This window comes from Homo sapiens, chromosome 4 (assembly GCF_000001405.40).
Source record: "Homo sapiens chromosome 4, GRCh38.p14 Primary Assembly".
Taxonomy (NCBI): Eukaryota; Metazoa; Chordata; class Mammalia; order Primates; family Hominidae; genus Homo; species Homo sapiens.
Genome location: NC_000004.12, coordinates 174687141 through 174711157, shown reverse-complemented (window position 1 = coordinate 174711157; position 24017 = coordinate 174687141). Strand labels below are relative to the sequence as shown.

The 24017-nt window shown below is 36.1% G+C and overlaps 1 protein-coding gene across 9 annotated transcripts in view, besides 1 other annotated feature; it reads left to right on the top strand.

Annotated features, from left to right (window-relative positions):
* The window catches only part of GLRA3 (glycine receptor alpha 3), a 192328-nt gene that overhangs the window by 118090 nt on the left and 50221 nt on the right, over window positions 1–24017 (top strand). The window contains exon 1 of one of the 9 annotated variants that reach the window (XM_011532268.3): window positions 3649–3972. The exons of the other annotated variants lie outside the window; for them this stretch is intronic. The gene's annotated coding sequence lies outside the window, so the exon portion shown is untranslated. Of the gene's footprint in view, window positions 1–3648; window positions 3973–24017 lie in introns of those variants that run through there. 9 annotated transcript variants of the gene reach the window in all.
* Window positions 18844–19558: an enhancer, noted in NCBI's record as "H3K27ac hESC enhancer chr4:175612751-175613465 (GRCh37/hg19 assembly coordinates)". NCBI's record gives its function as "activates a minimal SCP1, AML or CMV promoter by ChIP-STARR-seq in primed H9 embryonic stem cells {active_cell/tissue: H9 hESC(primed)}" and the evidence as "EXISTENCE:reporter gene assay evidence [ECO:0000049][PMID:30033119]".

The window sequence follows — 24017 nt, the reverse complement described above, 5'->3', positions numbered from 1 at the left end:
ATGCAATAAAATTAGAAACCAATAACAATATAGAATTACTGTAAGTTGCTACAAATTCCCATACATTATTATATATTAATATACACTTGTATAACTGGAATGAAAAACAAATACTAAATGACTATTTGATTAAAGTGAAAATTAAGAAAAACTTGATGTTAAGTTACAATGAAAGCACAATATATCAAAATTTCTAGATACAAATAAGCCAGGTTTTTTTAATAAAAATGATTTCACTAAGCATTCTATTCAAAAAGACCAAAAAGACACAATAGAGTGTCCAAAGAATCACAAAAACCCCTAAACCTGGTGCTTTGAAAAATCTCAGAACCTAGACACATCCCTGGAGAAATTATTTAAAGAAAAAAAAATTAGGTTGATTGAATATCAAAAATACAGAATGAAGAAATAGAAATAATCGTAGTATGCCAGCTTAAAAGCAATGAAAGAAAATCCTGAGCAATTCTATCTTTTTCAGTCATAGTTATGGAAAGGAAACTCAGCCAAAACCTTTATTTGAAAACAAGAAGGAAGACTGGGGGAAAAACGTCCGCGTAAAGAGCTAACTTTGTTATAAATTAATGAGAATTTCCAAGAGCGGAGACAATAATGATAGGAACAACAACAAACATTTTGAAAACCTGTTCAAATATTTGCTATATAAAAAGAAGAATTATGCATAAAGATGATTTCCTCAAGTTTCCTCTCAATCGGGAGAACTGGATATTTAGCTTTGTTTACATTAATCTGAAAAAAGAAGGTGATTCATGGAAAAAGTAGATCAGAGCTGATGTCTGCTTAACTGTGCTGTGTTTTTTGTGAAAATTTTTGTTCAACTAAAAATTTACTTTGAGTTATGGGAAATTTTAGGATAGAGCTTGAATTAGGAATGTTTGTACAAATATAGAGACACAACCTTAGAAGTACTGCTTATTGAGACATGGATAAGCATGCAGACATGAAAATCAATGAAATTTCTGGAGATAGCATAGAAAACGACCACCAAAAGAGAGCCAGAGAAAGACAGCATCATCAAGTTTTAGAAAAACTGGAAGAAGTGAAACAGAGAAAGACAATAAGGAACTCTTTGTGATATTTTAACAATATGTTTCCTAGAGGCTATTTGGAAAATATGATTAATCTAGTTTATTCATGGAGGGTAGACTCATTAAAGGTAAAAAAAAAAAAAAGAAAATCAACATTATGTTTTCTTCAATATTTAGGTATAAAAATGTATTAGCTGCAACACAAGTGGTATTTATCATAGTGTTTCACTCTGCTGCCATTTAAAAATCAAAATAAAATAACTGCACTAAAGTTGAATCTTTACTGTTACAGTAATTTAGAATGCTAACTCATCACTGAGAATTCCACTGAAGTCAAAGGAAAAAATGTGGCCCCGTTTATATGTTCCAAGTTCGGATGTTTCCCTTATCAAATTATAAAGGCCTCTCTGGGAATGTGCTTATTCCTCAAATCTCAACAGAGTTTCATGTAACTGCTTGTATAAAAGCCAGAAGTTCAACATACTGTTTATTCCTCTGATCTAGAACATACTTAATTCAACTTCATTCTGGGATAAATACTATAAATGTTTGCTTTTAGGTATGAAGAAAACGTGTTGCTTTCATTTATTTTCTCTCTTTTTAATACTCATTTTTCACTCTCAAAGTCGGTAAGAAGACACAGGCCAGTTCCCATGACAATATGCATATCCAAAATTCACACTTTATTCTCAAAATTCATATTTTATTAGGAGAAACCTAAGAAAGTAACAATAAAAATATCAAACCATACATACCACACAGAGAATTCTGCAATGAAGACTTGTTTTTCACTAACTGTTTTAAATTTGAGCCCCAATTTTTATGTGCAGTTCTTGATTGTAATAAATGAAACTGAGGAAAGTTCCTAGTGAAGACAAACTACTAAAGTGATCACTGGCCTTCCTTCTCAGGATTAGATTGCATTAGTTTACTGATTACTTATCAGATGCCATTACCTGAATTTTTTAAAGCTGTTTGAAGCGCTAGCAACATGAGGTAATTTTCAACGGATACGTTTTCATTTATATCACAATTTATAAATACATTTTTACATAAATGCAATTATAATTATTTTATTTGACGCAAAAGAAATAACTAATATAGAATGATATAGAAGAGAAAGAGGTACAACTACCTATATTAAGATCTAGACTATGCCCCTAAGGAATGCTTGATGGAAGTTGATGTACAGGGCTAGAGGCAGGAAAAAAACTCAAAACTGAATTTTCAGTTTTTTATTTACATTAAAAGGAAAATTCCTAACTGTTTTTTTTTTTAATTTGCTAGTTGAAAAAAAAAAGCCAGGAAGGATTTTTTTAATCATGGAAAAACATTGGATAATAATTTCTTAGAATCAGAATAATAGTTAACAGGCATTGATGACACATGGTGCATAAACTATTACTACTTCCATAAAGGGTCTAATTCTGTAGTTCATATCTAAAGAGGAATGTATTGCACTGCAGCCCGGGCAACAAGAGCGAAACTCCATCTCAAAAAAAAAAAAAAAGAGTAAAAGTTAAAATATTATTTAGATTTGAAAAGACAATATAAGAAAATGACTCAGTGAAGAAGTATTGTCTGCCAAAAAGAACAGCCTAAATCTCGAAAATTACAGGGTAATTGTTAAGGGCCAACTTGAAAAAAAAAATTAACAAAAGCTTTAAGAAACTTGATATATACTTTAGTAGTATTGTTGGATAGAAATATATAAAGATAGAATACACTTTAATGGGGTTTTGGGATAGAAATTTCTAAAGAGAGATGAGAGGATTTTATGATTTAATTTCTCAGATTCATTTAAAAACCAGGTTTGACATTACTCAGACCGCTTACTCTGGAATTTATGCTAAATTAGCTAAGGCAAAAGATAAGATTTGGTGATGATTTTTTGCAATTATTTTATAATAGTCTCTACTCTTATCCAAGCTCTTTCATAATTTAAAAGTTTGGATACTGTTCAAAATAATATTATGTTTTTTGTTTGCCTAGTGAGAAATACAGATGGTTCTTGTTTGCTGAGTATTTGTTGCTTAAACCTCTGCAGTTACAGTGTTAGCTAGAAAACAGAAGTCCTCCCAAGACAAAACTATACAGTAATGAACTCGCTACTTATAAAATAAATCTCCACTTAAACATTAAGTATTCCATCCTATGCAACACCAATGGCCATTCTCTTCTAGTCTGTCCACATCTTTCTAGGTTGAATTTTTACTGATCATCAGGTATTCTAAGCATATTGACTACAGTCAGTCATATGGTCAAATTATGCTTCGAGAAGTGAAGTGACTTTCCCAAGGTCACACAACTGTGAAGTGGACAGAGAAAACGATATGATTTAATAGCTCACAAACTTTTCATACAACCATTGGTCATTTTAAAATCTATGTGATGATTTCCAAATATTTATAAATTGTAATTGTGGTATCCTTAAATTATCTCTGCAAGTTAAACACACCCAGTAATTTCATTCGTTTTCTCATATGAAAAGACTTAGAGTTCCCTCCTTTGCCTATTTCCCTTCCCCTAGACGTCTTTCCATGTATTAAAATTGGCCTAAACCGAGACTGCAGAGTAGGGCTTCCCCCCCGTGACAGTGCCAATCATTCTGTTACTATTGCAGTTTCAGATGACACATACATTAGAGATAGCTGCAAAACAGTCTTGACTCAGAACACATCTACAGTCATCTGAGTACTACAACTAAGTTCTATGTCCCCCATCCATGTTTACTAAATTGGTTCACTGGAATAAATACAAAGTACTTTACCTTTTTTCTAGTTAAAGATCATCTTACTAGTTTTAGTCCATAATTCTACTTTGATGATCCATGTCTCTGCTGGTTAATCATCCAGAGAATTGAACAATATATCATTATACACTCCCAGAAGGACAGGACTGAAAACCTTGCAACAGTGCACTACAGGTATTTGTCTTGATTTATTACTACTGAAAAAAATCAACAATTGCTTTTTCAATCAGCTATAAATTACTTAAATGGATATCCATTTCAAAATTTTGAAATCCTTGCTTATAAGAATAACATTAGAATTCATCAGATATCTTGCTGAGAACACTATAGTATCCCTTAATATTCTAGCATAGTTGGTAATAAGATTATAATATGATATCAATGTAGCATGGCTTTTCCTTTATGACCCTAATTCTGGCTCCTACTGACCACAGCTTCCTGCTCTACCTGTTCACAGATATAATCTTAACTATTCTGGAATTGTATGGATTTGGTGTTACGCTCCTTTAAAATTCACAGAATCTACCTGTTAATAAACTTGAAAATATTCTCAACATTAGTCTCTTAGCAGCTTTGTAAAATTCTTTATCACCCCTTTGAGATTCCATATAGCATCAGCAATCTCATCTGCAAACATCTTCATGCTCTGGAATTTTATTTTCCTTCGGAGAAAAGATACAGATAAAAAGTTTATCTTTCTCTTGTCCTGCTCAAGCAGGGTTCCTATTTCTTTCTATTCTTATAGAACCCGAGGATCCCTTTTTTGTTTGCATTTTCAACTTCAATATGGATGAAATTAAATGTATAGCCTGAATACATCAAGAAAATATTTATTGTTACTTTTGGTTTCAATGTTGTGTTTGGCTTATCATTTACCTCCTTTACTTCACTTTTGTATACTTTTTCAGTTGTTACAAAGATGTTTGATGTCAAATGAAATGCTTATCTATTTATTTCAACATTGTGCTTTTGTGGTTATTAATGATGGGGTTACCATAATCCTTATGTCAGATAAAACTGTGCTCTTCTCTCTGCCTAAAATGTGTTTCCTGAAGATTTATCGATAGCTTGACCCATCGGATCATTCCGCCAGGCCATTTCTGAACATTTTTTTTTTCTTTTTTTTTTCTGAGACGGAGTCTCGCCCTTTCGCCCAGGCTGGAGTGCAGTGGCGTGAACTCGGCTCACTGCAAGCTCTGCCTCCCGGGTTCACGCCATTCTCCTGTCTCAGCCTCCCGAGTAGCTGGGACTACAGGTGCCCGCCACCACGCCCGGCTAATTTTTTGTATTTTTTAGTAGAGACGGGGTTTCACCATGTTACACAGGATGGTCTGGATTCCTGACCTTGTGATCCACCCACCTTGGCCTCCCAAAGTGTGATAATCTTTTCTTAAGTTAGCTCTCTTCTCCCCAGTTGCTTCCTATCCCATTAAATTATAAATTTATTTCAAAATACATATCACCATCTGAAATGATTATTTTATTTCTGATAACGTTTGTATTGCCCTCCCCACCCCCACCCCACTACATGCAAGTTCCATGTAGACGGGGAAAATGTCTCTCATTTCTCACTTGTTATCACTAGAAATTCTAGCAAAAATTAAGACAGTGATCTCTTTGTTTCTCTTAACGACAGTCAATAATTTGGTCATATTTTTTACAGTGCAGTTAATATAGCCCACTTGTAGCCATATTTCACCCAAAGATCCATTAAAGAAAACATCAAGTTGGTTGTCCGGAATGACTCCCCTCTTCTCTTACATAACTGAAAAGACTATTGGAGGCTAATTCATTGTATTTACCCAGGTTCTACTTTCAACTCATGTCATGATACCACAAGGTCTTCTGCACACTGTGCATCCCTCTTTTATTTCCTCCCCCAGAAATTCATCAGTCTTTTCTTCTTTTATTTTTTAATTGTGGTAAAATCCATGTCTTAGTCTGTATTGTGCTGCTATGACACAATACCACAGATTAGGTCATTTTTAATGGATAGAAATGTATTGGCTCACAGTTCTGGAGGCTGGAAAATCCAAAATGAAGCTGCCAGCATCTGCTAGGGCGTTTTCATTGCATCACCCCACAGAAGACAGAAGGGCCCGGCACAAAAAGGGGCTGAAACCACCCTTTTATAATGGCAGTAATTCCACCTATGAGGGTAGAGACCTCATGACCCAATCTCCTGTTAAAGGTCTCGCCTCTTAACTCTGCTACAATTGCAACCGAATTTAAACATGAGTTATGAAGGGACAAACATTCAAAGTATAACAATATACAAACAAAATGTACCATCTTAACCATTTTCAAGCATTCGGTTCAGTAGTATTTGGTATCTTCACAATGTTGTACAAGCAATCTCCCAAACTATTTCATCTTGCAAAACTGAACTCTACATTCATTAAACAACTCTCCATTTCCCCCTTCCTCTTGCCACTGAGAACCACCATTCCACATTTTGCTTATATGAGTTTAGCTACTCTAAATTCATATATAAGTAGATTCATACAGTATTTGTCTTTGTGTGACTGGCTTATTTCACTTAACAAAGTTCTCAAAGTTTATCTATGTTATAGTATATGTCAGGATTTTCTTCCTTTTTAAGTTTGAATAATGTTCCATTGTATGTATATAATATTTTATTTCTCCATTCATCCATTGATGGAAATGGGTTACTTTCATATTTTGGCTATAGTGAGTAATGCTGCTATGAACACGAATGTCAAATACCTTTTTGAGACCCTGCTTTGAATTCTTTTGGACATATATCCAGAGGTAAAATTGCTAGATAATATGGTCATTCATTTTTAATTATTTAAAAAGCAGCCATATTTTTTATAGCAGCTGCACCATCTTATACTCCACCAGCAGTACACTAGAGTTCCAATTTCTTTACACCCTTGCCAACACTTGTTAGGATGTGTGATTCAGATAGTAGCCATCTTCTTTGTGTGAGAATCAGTAGACTTTTTAGAACACCCTAGATCACCTGTAATTTAAAGCATTTTATTTCTGTGATCCTGCCATTTGCTGCTATTCTTTACTACTCAGAGCTGTCACCATTTTTTGTATATAGGGTCTGACTCTGTTGCCCGCGCTGGAGTGCAGTGGTGTGACCTCAGCTCACTGCAACCTCCACCTCCAGGCTCAAGCGATCCTCCCACCTCAGCTTCCCAAGTAGCTGGGACTACAGACATACACCACTACATCTGGCTAATTTTTGTATTTTTGATAGAGATGGGGTTTTGCCATGTTGCCCAGGTTGGTCTCGAACACTTGATCTCAAGTGATCCAACCACCTCAGCACCCCCAAAAAATGGGATTACATGCCTGTGCCACCGTGCCCAGCCTCTTTCATCCTTAATTAATTCTCAAAATAATCTGTTCCTTCAACCCTCATATCCCTTCAATTCCCCTAAATCAAATGGCCTTTCCAGATAATGCTTTTTCAAAACTTTGGTAGCATATCCCCAAACAGGACCCTGGTGTTCAATCTCAACAATCCCTTAAATTATGCAGTGCATTGGCTGCTACCTGCATAAAAGGAGGAATTCAGAAAACATACCCTTCAGTCTTTCACTGAGAAACTATATAAGTTATATAAATCCGCTCATTTTCAGAGGCTCAGTTTTCTATTTTATAAGATAAGTGAGCGGCATTAGATGACAGCAAAAGTCATCTCAACTCTAGGATTCCATAAATTCTTTAAACATAGAAGACCACAAATCTGTGAATTAGGAACATAGCATTGGAAAACCATGGAATATCTGTAAAAAGGATCAAGAGGAAAACAAAACCTAATAAGTAAACAAAAACAGTGTGAATTATATGTAGTGAGGATCAAGAGGGAAGCCAGCCAAACTAGAAAACAGGAAAATGGAAATAATAAATAATAGTTTGTCAATAAAAATTTAGAGAAAATAATCTATTTTTTGAAAAGGTACACAGAGTGTGATTCAAGCATTTACATTAATAAATGAGTGAGGTGGACTTTAGGAGTGTTTTGATACCATACTGAGATCAAAGCCCAGGAGCTGTGAATCATGAAGGCAATGGCTCCACTGCTTCCTTTATACTTTTACCTCTAGGGCAGCCAAGTTCATAGATCCTCACCAGTGGATTCTTCATTGTTTGTATGACAAATGTTCCACTCTCAATCCAGAGGATTTGAAGTTTCTAAGGCATTTGAAGAATGCCAAATCAAATTTCTGAGCTCTCAGAAGTTCCAAGTAGCCTGTTTCTTCACAACATAGCCCACTTATAGTCCCCAGTTCCTGGCAATTTGTTGATTTCTCTGAGTTCTGCTATCAGGAAAATCTACATGCAGATTTGCAAAAAGCAAAACCTTGCCCAAGTGTTAGCACTGGGCGTGAGTAAGGGAGATTCATACCACTTCCAGTCACCAGGCCTGCTAAAGAACTGTTGATTAGAAATTGTAATTATAATGTGTAACTCATTAAATGTGAGGGTTCACTATAGTATGTCCTTTATATATGAATATGATTCAAATATACCATCAATAGAATTTAAAATATTTTCTAAAGAAGCATGAGGCTCACTTGAGGCCAGGAGTTTGAGACTAGTCTGGGAAACATAGTGAGACCATGTATCTACAAAAAATTAAAAAATTATCCAGGTGTGATGATGCATGCCTGCAGTCCTAGCTATTCAGGAGGCTGAGGTGAAAGGACCACTTGAGCCCAGGACTTCAAGGTTGCAGTGAGCTATGATCACGGCACTGCACCCCAGCCTGGGCAACAGAGCAAGACTCTGTCTCAAAAAATAAAAATATTTCTAGGAATGGTGATTTTTTTTTTCTAACTCACCAATAGTATCACAAATTTTCCCAACACAGCTGTTTTAAAACTGAGGGAATATATTTGAATATAGGGATACCTTAGAGCTATTGCTGGTTCAGTTCCAGACTATGACAGTAAAGCAGTTACATTAATTTTTTGGTTTCCCAGTGTATATAAAAGTTATATTTATACTGTACTGTAGCCTATAAGTGTGCAATAGCATTTTATGTCTAAAAATAATGTACATATCTTAATTTTTAAATACTTTATTGCTAAAAATGCTGATAATCTGAGCCTTCAGTGAGTCATAATCATTTTCCTGGTGGAGGGTCTTGCCTCAGTGTTGATGGTTGCTGATTGATGGGATGCTGGTTGCTGAAGGTTGGCATGGCTGTGGAAATTACTTAAAATTAGACAAGAATGTAGTTTGCTTCATTGAGTGACTCTTCCTTTCATTAAACATTTGTCTGTAGTATGTGATTCTGTTTGATAGCATTTTACCAACAGTAGAACTTTCCTAATTGGAATCAATCCTCTGAAACTCTGCCACCGCTTTATCAACTAAGTGCATGTAATATTCTAAATCCTTTGTTGTCATTTCAACAATGTTCACGGTGTCTTCACCAGTAGATTTCATCTCAAGAAACCACTTTCTTTGCTCATGCTTAAGAAGCAACTCCTTATCTGTTCAAGTTTGATCATGAGATTGTAGCAATTTGGTGACATCTTGAGGCTCCTCTTCTAATTTTAGTTCTCTTGCTGTTTCTGCCACATCTGCAATTACTTCCTCCACTGAAGTCTTAAACCCCTCAGAGTCATCCATGAGGGTTGAAATCAACTTCTTCCAAATTCCTGTTAATGTTGATATTACAACTTCCTCCCCGAATCATGAATGTTTTTAGTGGCGTCATTATAGAATAGTGAATTGTTACATGTAGGTTTTCAGTTTACTTTGCCCAGATCCATAAGAGGAATCACTATCTATGGCAGCTATAGCCTTACAGAATGGACAAAATGTTTTTCTTAAGTTATAAGACTAAAAGTCAAAATTACTCCTTGATCTAGGGGCCACAGAATGGATGCTATGTTAGAAGGCTTGAAAACAACAATCTCCCTGTACATCTCCATCAGAGCTCTTGGTTGACTGGGTTAATTGGCATCAGCAGTGATATTTTGAAAGGAATCTTTTATTCTGAGCAATAGGTCTCAACTGTGGGCTTAAAGTATTCAGTTAACTATGCGGTAAACAGGTGGGCTGTCATCCAGGCTTGTTCCATTTATAGACAACAGGCAGAGTAGATTTAGCATAATAATTGTTAAGGGCCCTAGGATCTTTGAGCGGTGAATGAGTACTGGCTTCAACTTAGAGTCATCAGCTTCATTAGCCCCTAGGAAGAGAGTCAGCCTGTTCTTTGAAGCTTTGAAGCCAGGCATTGACTTCTCCTCTCTAGCTATGAAAGTCCCAGATGGCATCTTTTTCCAATAGAAGATTGTTTCATCTACATTGAAAATCTGTTGTTTAATGTGTCCACCTTCATCAATTATCTTAGCTAGGTCTTCTGGATATCTTGCTGCAGCTTCTACATCAGCACTTTCTGCTTCACCTTGCACTTTTATGTGGAGAGGGCTTCTTTGCTTAATCCTCATAAACTAACCTCTGCTAGCTTCCAATTTTAATTCTGCAGCTTCTTCACCTCTCTCAGATTTCATAATATGGATGAGTTAGGATCTTGCTGTAGATTTGGTTTAGGCTTAAGGAAATGTTGTTGCTGGTTTGATCTATGCAGACCACTCAAACTTTCTCCATATCTTCAATAAGGTTGTTTTGCTTTCTTATTGTCCATGTGTTCAGTGCAGTAGCACTGTTAATTTCCTTCAATAACTTTTCCTTTACCATCATAACTTGGTTAACTCTTAGGTGCCAGACGCCTAGCTTTCATCCTATCTAAGCTTCCAACATACCTTCCTCACTAAGCTTAACCATTTCTAGCTTTTGATTTAAAGTGAGAGATGTGTTGCTTTTCCTTTCAGCGACTACTTAAAGGTCTTCGTAGTTATTAATTGGCTAATAATTTGCCATCATATAGGGAGGTAGTTTGTAGCACCCAAAAACAATTATAATGGTAACATCAAATATCACTGACCACAGATTATTATTACAGATATCGTAATAATGACAAAGTTTGAAATATTATGACAAGTACTGAAATATGACACAGAGACATGAGGTGATGACAGGTTGCTGGAAAAATGGAGCTGATAGACTTGCTTAATATAGGGTTGCCACAAATCTTCAATTTGTAAAATATTCAATATCTACAAAGCACAATAAAGAAAAGCTCAATAAAACAAGCTATGCCTGCAGTAAAGACACAGAAAATGGTGAAAATTTCTCTGGCTATAGTTAACTTGCTCATTTGTGATTAAAACTTCATCTTCTACCTAATTACAATCACTGTTTCTGTCATCTCCATTAGAAAATAGCCTTAATATATCCTTGGGCTATACAAACTCTGTACCTTGAGTTAGTTTTTCATTTTTATGATAGAAATCAGCATATACTTAACAATTTATAAATTAGGACACAGAAAACATATCCTGGGAGTGTGGATTACAACACAATTGAATCATTTAACAAATAATTTTGTTAAGTTTAACAAATTATTAATTAAATAATTAACAAATTAAGTATTAATTAAATAATTAATGCATTAATTATTAATTAATAATTAACAAATAAATTATTAATTATTAATTAAATAATTAACAAATAATGTTAAATATTTAACAAATATTAATTCTCTAAAATAAGGATAATTTAAACAGTACAAATTTGAAGTTCTGGTTCCTTTGTGATGAGCAACTTAAGACCTGCAGAACTTCAACTAATATGCCTTAAATACTTCTTAAGTGATCCTTCCATCCAAAAGATATACCACATTTGAAAACATACTAACTTAGATAGAATTTTATTATTACAGTAGTCCTCATAACAATATATTAGGAATTAGTGCTTTCCTGCATAATTCTATTACACAGCTATGATTTTGCTATATAATTATATTTTTAAGGTGCAACAGAATACTGTGGAGTTGCTCACTTCCAATTACTTGAACATCTTTCTGTGCCAATGTCATTTTCATTGTAGGTATACTTGATATTGTAGGCTTTGATTGCATGTAAAACATCAGCTATCTTTTGCCTTGTCTGGCAGTATTATTTTCTGTTTAAATTTTAAAAAGTAAGTTTAAAAAGTAATTATGGCCAGACATGGTGGCTCATGCTTGTAATCCCAGCACTTTGGGAGGCTGAGACGGGTTGATGACCTAAGGTCAGGAGTTCGAGACCAGCCTGACCAATATGGTGAAACCCTGTCTCTACTAAAAAATACAAAAAAAATTAGCCAGGCGTGGTGACATACGCCTGTAGTCCCAGTTGCTCAGGTGGCCGAGACAGGAGAATCACTTGAACCTGGGAAGTGGAGGTTGCAGTAAGCTGAGATCACACCACTGCACTCCAGCCCGGGCAACAAAGCAAGACCCCGTCTCCAAAAAAAAAAAAAAAGTAATTATAAGCTTCTGAGACCTGAGAGGAACAATGTGGCTTTATATATATGGCAAATTATATAATAATAAATGATTTACAGTAATGTCTGGGTCTCTGTCCAGAATAGCTTGCATCAGTTTTTATTATACTGTGTATTAAATGCGAATTTTAGTGTTTGAAATCTGTCCATACCATGCTAATTACCTCTCTCAAGTACTTCAATAAATATATTGCAATAATAGACATTTTTTATCTCACCTTAAGGAGAAGTTGCACACAAAATATATAATTTTATTCTCTGATGTTTAAGCTATCCAATCATGTTAAAATTTTAATTTTATAGTATTACAAAGACTTTTTCATAATAATACTCTTCAAATGCTTCCAGCAATATGAATTTGAAGTGGATCATCTTGCTAATATTATGCAGAACTTTCTTCCCTTGTTTTGGTTTTGGTTTTGTATAGGTTTTGGTTCTTACAAATAAATAGTGGTACTGAAAAATCAGGCTTCAAAAATCCCAAGATCAGGCACAGCATGGTGGCTCACACTTGTAATCCCAACAATTTGGGAGGCTGAAGTGGGAGGATTTCTTGAGCCCAGGAGTTTGAGATCACCCTGGGGAACATAAGAAGACCCCCATCTCTACAAAAAAATTAAAAACCCAAAAAAGTAGCTGGGCATGGTGACACCTGCCTGTAGTCCCAGCTACTTGGGAGGATCACTTTTGTCCCGGAGTTTGATGCTACAGTGAGCTGTGATTGCTTCACTGCACTCCAGCCTGGGCAACAGAGTGAGACCCTATCTCTAAAAAATATATAAATATATCAAAAATAAAAAAACCCAAGACCAGTCAAAGCATTATTGCCTTACTATTCTCTATTCAAAACATTACACAACTTTCAGATATTGCTAAAGTGGTTTGGCTCACAGTGTCGGTTATGATTTGGGGCCTATTTAGTGAATTGATTATTTCACAAATTTGAGCAGATCTGAACCTCCAACATCCTGGGAGGCAGACACAGAATGTTTTCTCACAACCTGAAGTTTATTCCAAAAAGGTAGTCGGGCAAGACCCTCTTATAACCTCTCCTACAGTGAAATCCAACCAACCACGATGCCTTTCCTCATTAAAATGGGCTCAGGGTCAGGTCATTTTCTGATTTTCACTGAAATTTCTCACAAAAACTTTAAACTTTGTGTGTTCAAAGTGTGGCAATTTTGTGAAGTTTTGAGAAATATGAACAAAGTTATTGTTGTGTTTGTCATTTAAGAAGAGCAGTTAGGGGTCACAAATTATATATCCACACTTTTCCCAAGAGAAAGGGGGAAACTTTAAGTCTGTGATATACGTTAAAATGTCTCATAAGATAATGGTGATAGGTCAGCTATACCAGAAGTTTTAGAGAAAATGTAATTGCTAAGAAGATGCTTAATTTACCAGACCAATAATTTAAATGAAACCACATGTAATGGCCTGATTTATGGTAAGAGTATTCAAATGAAATGCACAAATTATAAATAAAAATGTTTTAGTTAAATGCGTTTTGACATAGCAGTTGTTCCTTGTCAGGTCAATGAAATTTACTTGAGCAATATTTCTCCTAGCAATAGTCAGCATGTGCCAAGAGTGAGCATTTTCTTCCTTCTGCTTTTTGAATTCCAGCTGCTAATTAAGAACATAAGCATTTGCAAACTGGGTCAAACTAGAAATCTCTCTCTGTCTCCACCCTAACCCTGCCTAACTTTTGAGATAGCTGGACCAAATATGATTCTGGTTTACTTTTAAAACAAAATGTGAATCTATAATTTATTAGTAAATCTTTAAACTCGTTTTCAACTTAAGTGTATTCACAGCCCACATTCTCCCTTTGAATAAGTGCTTCTTTTATATATTTACCCGTTGTGTAAAGTTTTATATAACCTCTTTTCTCATGTGTAGTCTTTTAAGCTATTTTTAAACCACCAAAGATTTTATGATTTTTAAAAAGTGATAATGTAATAAATTTGAATGTATTCTTCAAAACTGGTATGTTTGTGCTAGGAAATTTGAATAGAAACTGAGAAACAAACAAAAATGAATGCATTAGTAGCCTCTACTCATAATCCTCCTTTCTAGCCTTAGCTACTTTGTTTGCCTCATTACCAGTTCCCTTTTACTTTCTCTTCCTTACTTTCTCTCCCTCTCTCTCTCTGTCATACATATGCATTTGTGTTTGTTTCTATGAATACATATGTGTATGTACCTATACTATATGAATGATTATAAATCCAAAAGATATTTCAAACAAAAATACAGTAAATTTAAAAACATTTTTGTACCAAGCTCATATTAACATTGCCACTTAATGTCAGATTTAAGGTTTTTTATCTAATCTCATGGATATAAATTTGTATTTTGTTGTATTTTCATTTCCTTTAGTTTGAGCTTTTCTTCCTGCATACTTAGTAACCATTGCTGTTTCTTCTGTAAGTTGCCTGTTTAAACCTTTAATATAGAATTATCTTTTCATTTTTATAATATTATTATATTATATTAAATTATATTGTATTGTATTATATTTGTTACATATGTTGTTTTCCATATGTTATTCACGTTTCAACTTTACAATATCTTTCATAGTAAAGTTTTAAATATACATATAATAAAATTTGTTTTTCTTTAAAAATTATGCTTTATACATGCCAATATTACAAAATATTATCATTTACTTTAATCCAGAACTTGTATAGCACAAATTATGTTTATATTTTAAATACAATTAGATTTTCTTTTTGCGTCACTCCTTTTTCTAAGTGGATAGAATTTTTTCTCATCATCATTTATTAAAATTTTGCCACATTAATTTAAAGCATCATTTTTTTAATGATATTGATTCTTCCTATCCATTAGCATGGGATATTTTTCCATTTGTTTGTGTCTTCTCTAATTTTTTTAAGGAGTGTTTTGTAATTGTCATTGTAGAGATCTTTCTTTCATCTCCCTGGTTATTCCTAGGTATTTTATTATTTTATTATTTTGTGCCAATTGTAAATTGAATTGCCTTTCTGATTTGGCTCTCAGTGTGGCTGTTGTTGGTGTATAGGAATGATAGTGATTTTTGTACATTGATTTTGTATCCTGAAACTTTGCTGAAGTTGTTTATCAGCTGGAGGAACTTTTGAGCCAAGACTATGGGGTTTTCTAGACATAAAATAATGTCATCTACAAACAGAGGTAGTTTGACATCCCCTCTTCCTATTTGGATATCCTTTATTTCTTTGTCTTGCCTGATAGCTCTGCCTAGTACTTTCAATACTATGTTGAATAAAAGTGGTGAGAGAGGACATTCTCGTCTTGTGCCAGTTTTCAAGGGGAATGCTTCCAGCTTTTGACCATTCAGTATAATGTTGGCTGCAGGTTTGTCAGAGATGGGTCCTATTACTTTGAGGTATTTTCCTTCAATACCTAGTTTATTGAGAGTTTTTAACATGAAAGGGTGTTGAATTTTATCAAAAGCTTTCTCTGAGTCTATTGAGATAATCATGTGATTTTTGTCTTTTGTTCTGTTTACATGATGAATCACATTTATCGATTTGCATATGTTGAACCAATCTTGCATCCTGGGAATGAAGCCTACTTGATCATGGTGGATTAGCTTTTGATGTGCTGCTGGTTTCAGTTTGAAATTATTTTGTAGAGAATTTTTGCACCGATGTTCTTCAAGGATATTGGCCTGAAGTTTTCTTTTTTTGTTGCGTCTTTGCCAGGTTTTAGTATCAAGATGATTCTGGCCTCATATAATAAGTTGAGGAGGAGTCCCTCCTCCTCAATTTTTCGGAATAGCTTCTGTAAAAATGGTACCAGCTCTTCTTTGTACAAATCTGGTAAAATTCAGAACTACCATTCTGTGAATCTTTCAGCTCCCAGGCATTTTTTTTGGTTGGTAGGCTATTTATTACTGATTCAATTTTGGAGGTTGTTATTGATCTGTTTAGGAAATCAATTTCTTCTTGGCTTATTCTTGGGAAACTGTATGTGTCCAGGAATTTAAGCACCCCTTCTAGGTTTTCTAGTTTGTGTGCATAGAGGTGTTCATGGTAGTCTCTGATGGTTGTTTTCATTTCTGTGGAGTCAGTAGTAACATTCTCTTCATCATTTCTAATTATATTTATCTGGACGTTCTCTCTTTTCTGCTTTATTAGTCTAGCTAGTGGCCTATGTTTTATTAATGTTTTCAAAAAAACAACTCCTGGCTTTCGAATGGCTTTTTTGTGGCTTGATTTCCTTCTGTGCCACTCTGATTTTTGTTATTTCTTGTCTTCTGCTAGCTTTGGGGTTGATTTGTTTTTGCTTCTCTAATTCTTTCAGTTGTGAAGTTAAGCTGTTAATTTGAGATCTTTCCAACTTTTTGATGTGGACATTTACTGCTATCAATGTCCTTCTTAACACTGCCTTAGCTGTGTCCCAGAGATTCTGGTATGTTGTATCTTTGTTCTCATTGTTTTCAAATAACTTTATTTCTGCCTTAATTTTATTATTTACCCCAAAGTTGTTCAGGAGCATGTTGTTTAACTGTCATGTGTTTGCATGCTTTTGAGTAATTTTCATAGTGCGGACTTCTGTTTTGATTGCACTGTGGTTCAAGAGTGTGTTTGGTATGATTTCATTAGTTTTAAATTTGTTGATGATTGTTTTTTGTCCACTTACATGGTCAATTTTAGGGTATGTGCCTTGTAGTGAAGAGAAGAAAGTATATTCTGTTGGTTTTGGGTGGAAAGTGCTGTAAAGGTCTATCAGATCCTTTTGGTCCAATGTCGAGTTTACATTCTGAATATGTTTTTTACTTTTCTGACTTGATGATCTGACTAATACTGTCAGTGGAGTGTTTAAGTCTCGCGCTATTATTGTGTGGGAGTCTGTTTCTCTTTGTAGGTCTCTAAGAACTTGCTTTATGAATCTCAATGCCCCCTGTGGTAGGTGCATATATATTTAGGACAGTTAGGTCTTCTTGTTGAATTGAACCCGTTACCATTATGTAATGCCCTTCTTTGTCATGTTTTATCTTTTTTGGTTTTAAATCTGTTTGGTCTAAAACCAGGATTGCAACCCTTGCTTTTTCTGTTTTCCGTTTGCTTGGTAGATTTTCCTCCATATCTGTACTTTGAGCAGTGGGTGTCATTACCTGTGAGATTGGTCTCTTGAGGACAGTATACTATTAGGTCTTTTTTTTAAATCCAGCTTGCCACTCTGTGCCTTTTAAGTGGGGCATTTATCCCATTTACATTTAAGGTTAGCCCAAAGCGATTTACAGATTAAATGCTATTTCTATAAAATTAACAATGACATTCTTCACAGAACTAGAAAAAAACTATTTTAAAATTCATATGGAACCAAGGAGGAGCCTGAATAGCCAAGGCAATCCTAAGCAAAATATAGAGGCATCATGCTACCCAACTTTAAACTATACTACAAGGCTAGAGTAACCAAAAGAGCAGGGTACTGGTACAAAAACAGACATATAGACCAACTGAACAGAATAGAGAGCCCAGAAAGAAGATGAAACATCTACAACCATCTGATCTTTGAAAAAGCTGACAAAAAAAATCAATGGGGAAGAGATTCCCTATTCAATAAATGGTGCTGGGATAACTGGCTAGTGATATGCAAAAGATTGAAGCTGGACCCCTTCCTTACACCATATACAAAAATCAACTCAAGATGGATTAAATATTTAAAGGTAAATCCCAATACTGTAAAAACTCTAGAAGATAACTTAAGAAATACAATCCTGGACATAAAAATGGACAAAGATTTCATGATAAAGACACCAAAAGCAATTGCAACAAAAACAAAAATCAACAAGTGGGATCTAATTATATTTAAGAGTTTCTGCACAGTAAAAGAGACTATCAACAGTGTAAACAGACAACCCACAGAATGGGAGAAAATATTTGAAAACTATGCATCTGACAAAGGCTAAAACCCAACATCTATAAAGAATTTGAACAAATTTACAATAAGAGAACACACAACCCCATTAAGAAGTGGGCAAATGACATAAACAGACACTTTTCTTTTTTTTTTTTTATTTTTTTTTTATTGATCATTTTTGGGTGTTTCTCGCAGAGGGGAATTTGGCAGGGTCACAGGACAATAGTGGAGGGAAGGTCAGCAGATAAACAAGTGAACAAAGGTCTCTGGTTTTCCTAGGCAGAGGACCCCGCGGCCTTCTGCAGTGTTTGTGTCCCTGGGTACTTGAGATTAGGGAGTGGTGATGACTCTTAACGAGCATGCTGCCTTCAAGCATCTGTTTAACAAAGCACATCTTGCACCGCCCTTAATCCATTTAACCCTGAGTGGACACAGCACATGTTTCAGAGAGCACAGGGTTGGGGGTAAGGTCACAGATCAACAGGATCACAAGGCAGAAGAATTTTTCTTAGTACAGAACAAAATGAAAGGTCTCCCATGTCTACCTCTTTCTACACAGACACGGCAACCATCCGATTTCTCAATCTTTTCCCCACCTTTCCCCCCTTTCTATTCCACAAAACCGCCATTGTCATCATGGCCCGTTCTCAGTGAGCTGTTGGGTACACCTCCCAGATGGGGTGGTGGCCGGGAAGAGGGGCTCCTCACTTCCCAGTAGGGGCGGCCAGGCAGAGGCGCCCCTCATCTCCCGGACGTGGCGGCTGGCCGAGCGGGGGGCTGACCCCCCCACCTCCCTCCCAGACGGGGCGGCTGGCCGGGTGGGGTGCTGACCCCCCCACCTCCCTCGCGGATGGGGCGGCTGGCCTGGCGGGGGCTGACCCCCACCTCCCTCCCGGACGGGGTGGCTGCTGGGTGGAGACGCTCCTCACTTCCCAGACAGGGTGGCTGCTGGGCGGAGGGGCTCCTCACTTCTCAGACGGGGCAGTTGCCAGGCGGAGGGTCTCCTCACTTCTCAGACAGGGCGGCCCAGCAGAGACGCTCCTCACCTCCCAGACGGGGTGGTGGCCGGGTAGAGGCGCTCCTCACATCCCAGACGGGGCGGCGGGGCAGAGGCGCTCCCCTTATCTCAGACGATGGGCGGCCGGGCAGAGACACTCCTCACTTCCTAGATGGGATGGCGGCCGGGCAGAGAAGCTCCTCACTTTCCAGACTGGGCAGCCAGGCAGAGGGGCTCCTCACATCCCAGACGATGGGCGGCCAGGCAGAGACGCTCCTCACTTCCCAGATGGGGTGGCGGCCGGGCAGAGGCTGCAATCTTGGCACTTTGGGAGGCCAAGGCAGGCAGCTGGGAGGTGGAGGTTGTAGCGAGCCGAGATCACGCCACTGCACTCCAGCCTGGGCACCATTGAGCACTGAGTGAACCAGACTCCGTCTGCAATCCCGGCACCTCGGGAGGCCGAGGCTGGCGGATCACTCGCGGTTACGAGCTGGAGACCAGCCCAGCCAACACAGCGAAACCCCGTCTCCACCAAAAAAATACGAAAACCAGTCAGGCGTGGCGGCGCGCGCGCCTGCAATCGCAGGCACTCGGCAGGCTGAGGCAGGAGAATCAGGCAGGGAGGTTGCAGTGAGCCGAGATGGCAGCAGTACAGTCCAGCTTTGGCTGGGCATCAGAGGGAGACCGTGGAAAGAGAGGGAGAGGGAGACCGTGGGGAGAGAGAGGGGAGAGGGGAGAGGGGACAAACAGACACTTTTCAAAAGAAGACAAGTGGCCAGCACATTTTTTCTTATGAAAAAAAGTTCAACATCACTGACCATTAGAGAAATCCAAGTCAAAACCACAATGAGATACCATCTTACACTAGTCAAAATGGCTATTACTAAAAAGTCAAAATGGCTATTACTAAAAAGTCAAAAAAATGACAGATGCTGCTGAGGTTGCAGAGATAAAAGAACACTTATTCACTGTTAGTGAGAGTGTAAATAAGTTCAACCATTGTGGAAAGCAGTATGGCCATTCCTGAAGGAGCTAAAAGCAGAACTACCATTCAACCCAGCAATTCTATTACTGGATATATACCCAGAAGAATATAAATCACTGTACCATAAAGACACATGCACACGAATGTTTACAGCAGCACTATTCACAATTGCAAAGACTTGAAATCAACCTAAATACCCATCCATGACAAGCTGGATAAAGGGATAAAGAAAATGTGGTACATATAGAAAAGGGAATACTATGCAGCCATAAAAAAGAACAAGGTCATGTATTTTGTGGGAACATTGATGGAGCTGGAGGCTATTATCCTTGGCAAACTAATTGCAGGAAGCAAAAAACAAATACCTCATGTTCTCACTTATAAGTGGGAACCAAATGATAAGAACCTATGAACACAAAGAAGGGAACAACAGACACTGGCATCTACTTGAGGTGGGAGAGGAAGAGAAGGGAGAGGCCCAGAAAAGACAACTATTGGATACTGGACTTAATACCTAGGTGATGAAATAATATGTACAGCAAAGCCCTGTGACATGTGTTTACGTATGTAACAAACTTTCAAATGTACCCTCAAACCTAAAATTTAAAACTGAATAAATAAATACAATAATAACAAACAAAAACTACACAACAAAAAGTGTCATTTTTACCTTAAATTTCCACACATAGGTCTGATTTTGGACTCTGTTTTGAACCATTCATCTAAATTGTCCATTCCTGAGGTTATTTAAATACATTATTGTGAAAATGTTATTCTCTCAGAATTGAGCCATAATTTCAATGCAATGTAAATGAAAATACTAACATGATTTTCAATTGGATATTAATCTGAAATATAAAAGTCTATGCATGGTAAAGGTAGTTTTGAAAATAATAAAGAAGTAGGCCCTTCTAACAGAAAACAAATATACAAATAAAGTTATAGTGTTTAAATAACTTCTAAGTCCATGTGTACACATTATTTTTTTCCCACTTACAAGTGAGAACATGCGGTATTTGTCTTCTGCATCTGACTTGTTTTATTTAGGATAATGGCCGCCAGTTACATCTATGTTGATGCAAAAGACATAGTTTCATTCTTTTTATGGCTGAATAGTATTCCGTTGTGCATATATTCCACATTTTCTTTATCTAGTCATCCACTGATGGACATCAATGGTTTGAAATCTGTTTTGTCTGAAACTAGGATTGCAACTCCTGAATTTTTCTGTTTTTCATTTGCTTGGCAAATTTTTCTCCATCCCTTTACTTTGAGCCTATGAATATTATTACTTGTGAGATAGGTCTCTTGAAGACAGCATACCATTAGGTCTTGCTTTTTTTTTTTTTTTTTTTTTTTTTTTTTAATGCGACTTACCACTCTGTGCCTTTTAAGTGGGGCATTTAGCCTGTTTACATTCAAGGTTAGCCTAGAGCATTTTGTAGATTCATAAATAATCCATATCTTTGCTACGGTGGATAGTGCTGCAGAACATATGGACGGAGTGTAGAATGATAGACAGAGGAAACTCAGAAGGCTGACAGGGTGGGAAGAGGGGGAGGTTGAGAAGTTACTTAATGGATATAATGTACATTATTTGGGTAATGGATACTCTAAAAGCCGTGACTTCAATGCTATGCAATCTATGCATGTAACAAAATTATACTTGTACTCCATAAATTTATGCAAAATATAAAGAAGTCAGGCTTCAGAGGCTTTTTCCGCATCTCTCAAGATTATATCTACATCTTACTTTGCTGCTACACAGATATTCATATTGCTATGGTCCATTTGATATTCCACTATTCTTACTGCAATACTTGCAAATAGTACAATTATTAGATGTGTATACATACTTAGATTTCTTTCTAAATTTTATCTTTGATTCCTTTGATGAGTCTTCCTATTTCAATAACAGAACCAAATGCTTCTTATTGTTTTATTTTATAGTGCATTTTAATTAGACAGGTTTGTAAAGCTATATTTAATTGTTTTATAAAACCAAAGAGTTGGAAAGCCTTAGAGTTCATCTACTTTAAATAAACCAGTTAGTTTTAACTAAAACATTGAATGTCTCTTATACCTGAAAAATGATTTCCCAGCCTCTGCTTGTGGGAAACTTATCACCTTAAAATCCTATGATCAGACAATTCCATTAGATACTCTCATTTCTATTTAGCTGAAATGTACCTCTTTGGATTTTCTGTTTTGATTATTACTTTCCTGTCATCACTTTTCTCTTCCTAAGCGTTCTCTAAGATTCTTTATAGCTCTTCCTCTTCATTTACATATTCCCTCTCTGATGTTTTCAAATAATCAATAATTTTAATTAGTATATGTAGATAGTGATTCTTAACTTAAATCTCCAATCCTAAACTCATTTCCAATATCTAGTTCCATGATTTCAACTACCTTCAACATATAAGTCAATGTTGAGACTTCTTAGGCTCAACACCTGCATCTTCTGCTACCATCTCAAATTCAAGGCAACCCAAAATAACGTCACACACACACACACACACACACACACACACACACACACTTCCTCCTTCCCCTTTATCCCTTCTCTATTTCTAATTCAAATATTCAAGCACCTGCTATATGCTGGCCACATACTATTTTAGGTAATAGAAAATATGCCACTGACTAAAACAGAATAAGTCTCTGCTTCTATAAAGAATAAATTCTAGGGGACAAAGTAGGAAAACAAAATAAAAAATCTGATGAATATATATAATGTCAAAACCTGATGAATATATATATATATATATATATATATATATATATATATATATATATATATGATGTCAGGTAAGGATAAGTACTATGGAAAAAATAAACAGAAAATAGGTAAGGTAGAGCAACTGGAGGAAAGGTGTTTTATTAGATGGTCAAAGAAAGCTACTGTAATGTCATGAGGTATGAAATACAAGCAAATATTGTTGCATAGCTACTTGTCAGTGACTTAGACTGAAAACTTTGAAATTTTCCTTTTTTTTCTGTAAACACATAGTTAATTATGTGCCAATTTTGGTTAAATTATCTACTGAAGTGTTACCTCTGACTTATAATCCTTGTGGACCACTGCAGAAGAATGAGAGGGTTTTCGTTTTGTTTTGTTTTGTTTTGCCTTCTTCTGAAGGCAAAAAACTTTTAGTCTCTTAAAGATTAATTGCAATGTGGAATTGGAAACCATATCAATGAACTCTTCCTACTCTTTTAAATTAAAACTAACTTGTCTACCTTGCACTTTGAATGGGTCTTTCATGTATGCTTTTTAAACATGTTTTGGTCATTTTGAAAATATCAGATTGATGAGTTATTTAGATCTTCCAAACAGCTGACACACTTCATCGTACATATCAAAGTATCACATTTGTGGATGTCACCATCAAGCCCATCAAAAAATCTCTTAAGTATTGGGAAGCTATGAAGCTCATGGTGTAACAACAATTTCTCCAAAATTCCAATTTTGACTTCAAAGTTCAAAATTTATCATTGACAGCAAATACTGTCTGTTGTTCCCTTAACATGACAAGTTCAGATAAGTTCACTTCCTTCATCTTTGAGAAAATGGTCTGCCAAATACCTAGGCACAGTAACCAGTTTCCACCCATTTTTTTCACATAAAAAATAGTATTTCACGAAAACCCCAAGCTAGTTCAGCTTGCAACTCAAACACACCAGTGATTTTCCTTGAAAGAATCATATTACAGCCTGCAGCTGAGTATTTTGTGCAGACTTCCCATTTTGACACACAGAATATTAAAAGGTACTTACATAGGGTCCAAATTTACTAAAATTAATAATTGTTAATGCTTCATCAAAGATCAAGAACATTCCGAAATAAAAGTGGCATTGTTTTTACTGTAAGATATTTACTGTTTCATGAAGGATCAAAGACATTCATAAATAAAAATGGGATTGTTTTTGCTGCAAGATATGGCAGTAAAAATACAGTAACTCCTAGCACAGTTTGGT